The 9,499-nt window shown below is 37.6% G+C and overlaps 1 protein-coding gene and 1 pseudogene across 5 annotated transcripts in view; one reads left to right on the forward strand and one right to left on the reverse strand.

Moving 5' to 3' along the window:
* Positions 1-9,499, reverse strand: part of SLC9A9 (solute carrier family 9 member A9) — a 583,247-nt gene that overhangs the window by 358,818 nt on the left and 214,930 nt on the right. The gene's annotated exons all lie outside the window — the stretch shown is intronic.
* Positions 3,133-3,653, forward strand: UBTD2P1 (UBTD2 pseudogene 1; annotated as a pseudogene).

Below are 9,499 nucleotides of genomic sequence, written 5' to 3' on the forward strand. Positions count from 1 at the left end.
ATACACCCTCCCAAGACTAAACCAGGAAGAAGTTGAATCTCTGAATAGACCAATAACAGGCTCTGAAATTGAGGCAATAATTAATAGCTTACCAACCAAAAAAAGTTCAGGACCAGATGGATTCACAGCCAAATTCTACCAGAGGTACAAGGAGGAGCTGGTACCATTCCTTCTGAAATGATTCCAATCAACAGGAAAAGAGGGAATCCTCCCTAACTCATTTTATGAGGCCAGCATCACCCTGATACCAAAGCCTGGCAGAGACACAACAAAAAAAGAGAATTTTAGACCAATATCCCCGATGAATATCAGTGCAAAAATCCTCAAGAAAATACTGGCCAACTGAATCCAGCAGCACATCAAAAAGCTTATTCACCATGATCAAGTGGGCTTCATCCCTGGGATGCAAGACTGGTTCAACATATGCAAATCGATAAACATAATCCAGCATATAAACAAAACCAATGACAAAAACCATATGATTATCTCAATAGGTGCAGAAAAGGCCTTTGACAAAATTCAACAGCCCCTCATGCTAAAAACTCTCAATAAATCAGGTATTGATGGGACATATCTCAAAATAATAAGAGCTATCTATGACAAACCCACAGCCAATATCATACTGAATCGGCAAAAACTGGAAGCATTCCCTCTGAAAACTGACACAAGACAGGGATGCCCTCTCTTACCACTCCTATTCAACAGAGTGTTGGAAGTTCTGGCCAGGGCAATCAGGCAGGAGAAAGAAATAAAGGGTATTCAATTAGGAAGAGGAAATCAAATTGTCCCTGTTTGCAGATGACATGATTGTATATCTAGAAAACCCCATCATCTCAGCCCAAAATCTCCTTAAGCTGATAAGCAACTTCAGCAAAGTCTCAGGATACAAAATCAATGTGCAAAAATTACAAGCATTCTTATACACCAATAACAGACAAACAGAGAGCCAAATCATGAGTGAACTCCCATTCACAATTGCTTCAAAGAGAATAAAATATGTAGGAATCCAACTTACAAGGGATGTGAAGGACCTCTTCAAGGAGAACTACAAACCACTGCTCAATGAAATAAAAGAAGACACAAACAAATGGAAGAACATTCCATGCTCATGTGTAGGAAGAATCAATATTGTGAAAATGGCCATAATGCCCAAGGCAATTTATAAATTCAATGCCATCCCCATCAAGCTACCAATGACTTTCTTCACAGAATTGGAAAAAACTACTTTAAAGTTCATATGGAGCCAAAAAAGAGCCCGCATTGCCAAGTCAATCCTAAGCCAAAAGAACAAAGCTGGAGGCATCATGCTACCTGACTTCAAACTATACTACAAGGCTACAGTAACCAAAACAACATGGTACTGGTACCAAAACAGAGATATAGACCAATGGAACAGAACAGAGCCCTCAGAAATAATGCCACATATCTATAACCATCTGATCTTTGACAAACCTGACAAAAACAAACAATGGGGAAAAGATTCCCTATTTAATAAAAGGTGCTGGGAAAACTGGCTAGCCATATGTAGAAAGCTGAAACTGGATCCCTTCCTTATACCTTATACAAAAATTAATTCAAGATGGATTAAAGACTTAAATGTTAGACCTAAAACCATAAAAACCCTAGAAGAAAACCTAGGCAATACCATTCAGGACATAAGCATGGGCAAAGACTTCATGTCTAAAACACTAAAAGCAATGGCAACAAAAGCCAAAATTGACAAATGGGATCTAATTAAACTAAAGAGCTTCTGCACAGCAAAAGAAACTACCATCAGAGTGAACAGGCAACCTACAGAATGGGAGAAAATTTTTCCAATCTACTCATCTGACAAAGGGCTAATATCCAGAATCTACAATGAACTCAAACAAATTTACAAGAAAAAAACAACCAACCCCATCAAAATGTGGGCGAAGGATATGAACAGACACTTCTCAAAAGAAGACATTTATGCAGCCAAAAGACACAGGAAAAAATGCTCATCATCACTGGCCATCAGAGAAATGCAAATCAAAACCACAATGAGATACCATCTCACACCAGTTGGAATGGCGATCATTAAAAAGTCAGGAAACAACAGGTGCTGGAGAGGATGTGGAGAAATAGGAACACTTTTATGCTGTTGGTGGGACTGTAAACTAGTTCAACCATTGTGGAAGTCAGTGTGGCGATTCCTCAGGGATCTAGAACTAGAAATACAATTTGACCCTGCAATCCCATTACTGGGTATACACCCAAAGGATTATAAATCATGCTGCTATAAAGACACATGCACACGTATGTTTATTGCGGCACTATTCACAGTCACAAAGACTTGGAACCAACCCAAATGTCCAACAATGATAGACTGGATTAAGAAAATGTGGCACATATACACCATGGAATATTATGCAGCCATAAAAAATGATGAGTTCATATCCTTTGTAGGGACATGGATGAAGCTGGAAACCATCATTCTCAGCAAACTATCGCAAGGACAAAAAACCAAACACCGCATGTTCTCACTCATAGGTGGGAATTGAACAATGAGAACACATGGACACAGGAAGGGGAACATCACACACCGGGGCTTGTTGTGGGGTGGGGGGATGGGGGAGGGATAGCATTTGGAGATATACCTAATGTTAAATGACGAGTTACTGGGTACAGCACACCAACATGGCACATGTATACATATGTAACTAACCTGGACGTTGTGCACATGTACCCTAAAACTTAATATAATAATAATTTAAAAAAAAGAAATAGGAGAAACAAAAAAGGAAAACTTACTATCCCATGACAGATAGACAACCGGGCAGCAAGAGGGTTGAATTTTGGGAGACTGCACTAGCTCCTTTTTTTTTTTTTTTGAGACAGTGTCTCACTCTGTCACCAGGCTGGAGTGCAGTGGCATGATCTCGTCTCACCACAACCTCTGCCTCCTGGGTTCAAATGATTCTCCTGCCTCAGTCTCCCAAGTAGCTGGGACTACAGGCGTGCACCACCATGCCTGGCTAATTTTTGTATTTTTAGTAGCGATTGGGTTTCACTATATTGACCAGGCTGGTCTTGAACTCCTGACCTTGTGTTCTGCTCGCCTCGGCCTCCCAAAGTGCTAGGATTACAAGCATGAGCCACCACGCCCAGCCGACTGCACTAGCTTTTCAAAGCCGTAAGGAGATTTGGGATTTCTTGAAGGCTATTGCACGTGTTTTTGAGAGAAGTTATTGTGAACTTGCACAAGTAGTCATTGATAGTGCAAATGTAACATTATACATGGTGCACTTACAGAGTGCTATGATGAACTGGGGAATAGATATCAGCTTCCAATCTATTGCTTGGCAGCAGCAATCACCATGACAGAGAAAAAGAACATAGAGACTCTGAATGTTCCTCAGCCACCACCCAATTCTAGTTATGAATGTCAGCTCCGTTTGTGTCTTGCCACAGGCAAAGCCCTCAAACTTTTGGTGTGCAGCACAGACACAGTATGCCACATGCAGAGGCGGTGACTCGCAGCAGAAGGAGTGGAACTATGTAGTCAGCGGTGGTTCTTTTCTGGCAGACCTCTCACTAACAAAATGAAATTGGAAGAGCCAAAGATCCCAAAGGACTGTGCTGTACAGGTTAGAGTGAGGCAACCTTTTCAAAACCCAACACCAGTTGAGAACTGAATTGGTCCCATTGGCTGATCCCCAGGCCCCTCCCGCTCCTTTTCATTGTTGCTGTCATTTCCTACTGGATGGTGTGAAATTTCTTTGCACTGCTCTGAATTCCCTATGAATGGATTTAGTTCTGAGGAATTACAAGTGAAAAATTTCATCTGTGAATGAGACCAACACAAATAATTAATAAAATACAAAGAGCTAAAACAAATAGTTGGAAGCTGGTAATGAATGAGCTTGGGTGGAGGTGAACATTTACTTCTCCAATTAAACTGTGAGCTGCCAGGAGGGCAGCCCATTATTTACTTAATATATCTGTATTTATTGTATTTGATTTATCTAATTTAATGTATTATGTATTTTACCCTTCTAAACACCATTAGGAAAATACGGCTTTCTCACTGTAACTGCTGGGAAGGAGCATGCTTTTGTTTAGAATGTGAGCAACTGGGGAGCAGAAGCTGTTTTCCTAAGGGACAGCTAGATGGAGGATGGAGGGATGGAGGGATAAAAGGAGAGAAAGGGTACAGATGCACCTCCACTTACGATGGGGTTACATCCCAATAACCTTATGGTAAGTTGAAAATATCGTTAAGTTGAAGATGCATTTAATATACACCTAACCAATGGAACATCATGGCCTAGCCTAGCCTACCTTAAATGTGCTCAGGTCACTTACATTCTCCTACACTTGGGCAAAATCGTCTACCATAAAGCCTATAATATAATGTTGAGTACCTCATATCATGTATTGAATACTGTTCCAAAAGTGAAAAACAGAATGGTTGTATGGGTGCTCTTAGTATGTTTCCTACTGAATGAGTGTCGCTAAACACTCTAGTATTTAGAGTTGACAATACTGTAAAGTTGAAAAATCATTACCTCAAAGCATTGTACATTGGAGACCATCTGTATTATAAACACTCACTCTATCATATTTAACGTTAGTAAGATGGACTATAGAGACATATTTTAGTCATTTAAATGACTATGTTTGATTATTTCTGTTAGAATAATCATTTTTTGAACTGCAAAATAATTTTATGGCCTAAACTTTGGTGGTATCAGAGTTCATAACATAAAATTAGAAGACATTTTGTCAACAGTCTCATTTTATAGATGCTGTGAATCAGGCCCAAGGAATGTATTTAAATATGTATTTAAAATATTACAGTCAATACTATTCTATTTTCTCCCAGATTAATATATTCAAAACTTCTTATTGAGCAAAAATAATAATAATGTAGTTCAGTTAAGTATATATATTTTTTCCAAAAGATTAAATCAATCATCAGCAAAGGAGCTACACTATCGAAATTTAACTATTTAGTCTTTTTGGGGTAAATTATGACCATCTCCCTGTTTTCCTCTGTAACATCTGCATGTAGAGAAGTTACTTTTGTGGTGACATCATCAAGAGATAAGGTAATGTCTTAAAAATGTAACTGACTCTAATCAGTAACCACACGGGGGAACCACTAAATAAATAAATGGCCTGTCCACCCAAATAATTTATCAATTAATAGACAATCATAAGCTTGACAGCTTGTCTGAGGTCCAAACTACTGACTCAACAAGTACATACTGAGTATCTACTAGTGCAGACAACTGTGCTGAACGAAGGTATAGGTTGGTGAGCAAAACAGACATTGTCCCTGCTAGCATGGAGTTTAAAATATATTAGGGAATAATAGACAATAAATGAGTAAACAAAATATAATTACAAATTATGATATGTGCTACGATTGGGGCATAGTATTTAGAGTTGCCAATATTAAATACTAAGACTTTATTCATTATTGATCTGAAATTCAAATTTAACTGGGTGTCCTACATCTTTATTTGCTAAATCTGGTAGCCCTACCAGTATATGTGCGTGTGTGTGCGTGTGTGTGTGTGTGTGTGTGTATGTGTGTAGTGGGGGGCAAGGGAGAGAGATCTACTAGCTATAATAGTCGGGCAAAATTCATGCCAAGACACTCCATTTAAATTGACATTTGACAGATGAGAAAGAGCTGTCCAGGAAAGAAAGAGGGTGGAATGGTGGGATGTTTTAGGTGGCACTGGGGGTAGAGAATTCCAGACAAAAAGAATAGCATGTTCAAAGGTCCTGAGATGTTCATTCACTCAACAAGTGTTTATTAAGAGTCTATTATGAGCCAGGCATTAGGCACTGGGGATTCAGTGGTGACCAGAACAGAAGCACTCCTTGTCTTCTTAGGGCTGTAAATCTGAAGGACCAATGGAGGATGTCAAGACACAGCAGCAGAGAAATCATTTTTGGCAAGGAGATGAAAGATAATCCAATTATATTATTTTTACTTCCTTAGTGGCTAATATGAGGCTCAATGAAAAAACAAAAACATGTATTTTTTGTTAATTCAACAACCATTTATCCTCAACTTGGCCTGGGGGAAAAAGAGAAAAAAAAACTGACAGACAACCTTTTGTTATTCTTTATAATAATTATCTTTGCGTTATTCATCAAGGAGATGCTTCAAACTCAGTGAGAAGTGAAGTGAACTGAAATACAGAGATTTCACATTTATTTAAATAACTCCTTAAGCCAAGCCATTTAAGTAGGGAAAAGAGGCAAAACCCAGAGAAGCAACAGCAGAAAATAACCACTTGTCTGATTGATTGTGTCTCAAGAACTGCAGAGCTGCTCTAGCAATGTAACCACCTTCTAGGAAGGTGCAGGATAACCACAAATACCTTCCATTTTAGTGAATTGTCTTTTTGCTCTGAACATGCCAGTTTATTTGGGGTGAAGAAGTGATTCTTGTGGATAGGAGCATAAAGCCTTTTCTTTTATCACAGAAGCTAAGGTAGATTATTTCTGCCTTGACTATTATCGGTGAGATTTTTCAGATAAGATCAATTTTGTTAATGATAATGCAGTTCATGGTGAAAAATAATCAGAGTTTAACTCTCAGACCCTGGATTGAGTTTACTAAGTGAAAATTTGAGGGGGAAAATGGAATTCTGATTTATAGCTCCCTTTTGAGTTTGATCATTTGAAAAAATTTAAAAAATAAATTCATATTCCAATGTATTTTCTGAATATGATAGACTTTGCTTACAGTATATTTCTTTGGAAATGCTGTTACCTAAGATTATTTATCAGTTAATAGCTTAAAACAAAATCTGGTAGGATGATTAAAATATAATTAATAATTCAGAGACTAGTTATGTCAAACTAACCTTAAATACACAAGAAGTCTTTTTCCAGCTCGTTGCTATATTTTGGGAATCTTGATATTTTATTTAGTATACTTGCTATACCTCTCAGATTCATATCAATTGCAAATTTGACAAGCCTGCAATCGGTCCCATGATTTCAGTCACTGATAAAAATATTAAACAGGATAAGTCCTTAAATAGAGCTCTCTGCAAAGCTACTAGAAATACTGGATTTTATTGCTAAATAAATCAATACCCAATTACTTAATTTTGCCTACATCTAACTCTAAATCCTTCAAATTAGTCCGCAAGTTACTGATGAGAGGCCAAGTGCCTTGCATAAATCCAAACAAAACTTAGTAGGGATTAAAAATAATCCCTGCATTTGGGTCAAAATTTCTAATGCACTTTTGAAAATATAGAAGTAAACTTGTTCACAGGAGAGCAACTACAATGATGAAGGGAATCAGAACTATATCTTATACAGAACTGAAGTAGGAACTTGCAGAGGAGACAACATTTAATTCTTTTTGATAGTTTTACTTTTTCTATTATTTAAACAGCTTTCATATCAAGGAGAGGGTACTCTTGTTCAATATTACAGGTGACAAATTCAAATTTCCACAGGGGTTGGGCAGGCAATGTGAGTGAGGAAAGTCTCACTCTTTCACATTTCGTTCCTTGATAGAGACATGAGCACAAAATATATTGCCTTTCCTCTTATCTCTTTCATAAAAAGCCACTGTTCAAACTCAATACCCCATAGCAAATGGTCCCTAGGCTCAGTTTGGAGGTGTTGTGCCTGGGTTAAGGGGAGGGATAGCCGCTTCTTAATGCCAGCTTAATTGTTGTCAGAGGAGATGTATCTACACTCTCCCAATATTCCTACATCTTCCAGTTTTTCCAAAAGAAACTAGAAATCTGGATTTTTATGCTAGTTCTCTTGATTTTTTAAAATTTGGACAATAAATTTATATTTTTCTAAAAAACACTTTGCTAGTCAATACTGGGCAGGCACAACAATACATAGGCTGCTCCTGACTATGATTCCCACATGCTGGACCAGAACCAGTGACTTGAAGATATAGAGAAGCAGGCAAGAGATGAGGAAGAACTTGCCTCCTCAACTGCCCACCTTCTCCTGAGATCATCAGATCTAAGCAGAGCAACCTCATGTGATCATATTGGATATGATTTATATCTGTGACTGGATTACAGACCTTTAACTCCTTGTCTCACTTTGAGAGTCAATGGTTCCAAACAAAGCATTCTCTGGGGATTGAGGGGAGAAAATCAGTGGCTGGCAAGTTCTTGAGAGTGTTTGCCCGAAAGGTAGAATACGATCTCAGCTTTGCAAAATGATTGCCATTTGGAGGCAGATGACTTAGAGGGAATTTCTGGTTGACAAAACAGCAGGCACAAAAGAGTAAAGGTGGAAAGGAGAGTGGCCTGGGATGGGGGTCACAATGAAAAGATTCTAATGGAATGGAGAGTTTATAGCAATTAAGCCTGGGGGTCACAACTGGCCATATCCAATTATGTTTGGCCATCACATGGTTTAAAATAAAAATTGAACCTGAGGCACTTTTTGAGTGCATGTACCCTCCACTTACCTACTGACCCCGTCACTTCTTGTCTTGTATCCAGGACCACCACACAGTAACATTACCCAACTGATCCCCAAAATTCTTAGATCTTCCACCCCAACAATAAATTTTGATTTTATGGAAATTTATTTTCCTGAGACAAGTTTATGTACATATAAATTGAATACCTCTTGAATAGTATTACATGGTTAGTAATTTGGAACTTAAAGAAAAAATAATATAAATGATAAATTTGAGGTTTGGGTTGCAGCTAGAGGAAAGTTTCATTTGTATTTTTAGAAGTCCACACGTTAAGTGATAAATCTCATATTTGTCTGATTTGATAATCTGTTCCTATGGTTTGGGAGATGGATGTAACTGTTCCACAAACATGGACACAATTCTGAGCAGGGATATTAGGGCTCCATCAGGTCTGGTTAGGCCTATCCTGTTCCAAGTCACCAAACTAATCAGTTAAACAACTGGTTGGTTGGCCAAAGATTTCACTTTTCAGTCAATTGTCCTGGCATCAGAGACACATGCATTCCTAGAGTTTTACTCTCATCATTTAAAGTCAAGTTTTGCTGTCACACAAATACCTTATGCCTTTTACAAACATCCCTTCATTGGATTCTTACTATGTTCCTATCCATTCATTCATTAATAGATAGAGACCTACCAACAATAAACGGCCAACTCTTATGCTAGTTATAGGTGATCAGGATACAGCATAAATACAACTTACAACATCTATCAGGTGAGCAGGGAGATAATTTCATTCCAATTAAAAATGCATTTATTTCTTAAATCATTTTTATTACAGAAGTAAAATAGTAATGTATTTTCTGCCTTAAAGATTAAGGCTATGTAAAAGTATATAGAGTAAAAACCCTTTTACTTACATTTATATGCATTGCTATACAGATATAATTTTTAAATAAATACTATTATACACTATACATTTTCAGAAACTTCGTTTTTTAACTTAAAATGTCTTAGAGGTTTTTTCAGGCCATAAATTTTTTTAAAGCTCCAAAGTGTGCCATTGTTTGTATGTAGCACAGTATATTTAATCTTTCTTAT

Source organism: Homo sapiens, chromosome 3, assembly GCF_000001405.40.
Source record: "Homo sapiens chromosome 3, GRCh38.p14 Primary Assembly".
NCBI lineage: Eukaryota > Metazoa > Chordata > Mammalia > Primates > Hominidae > Homo > Homo sapiens.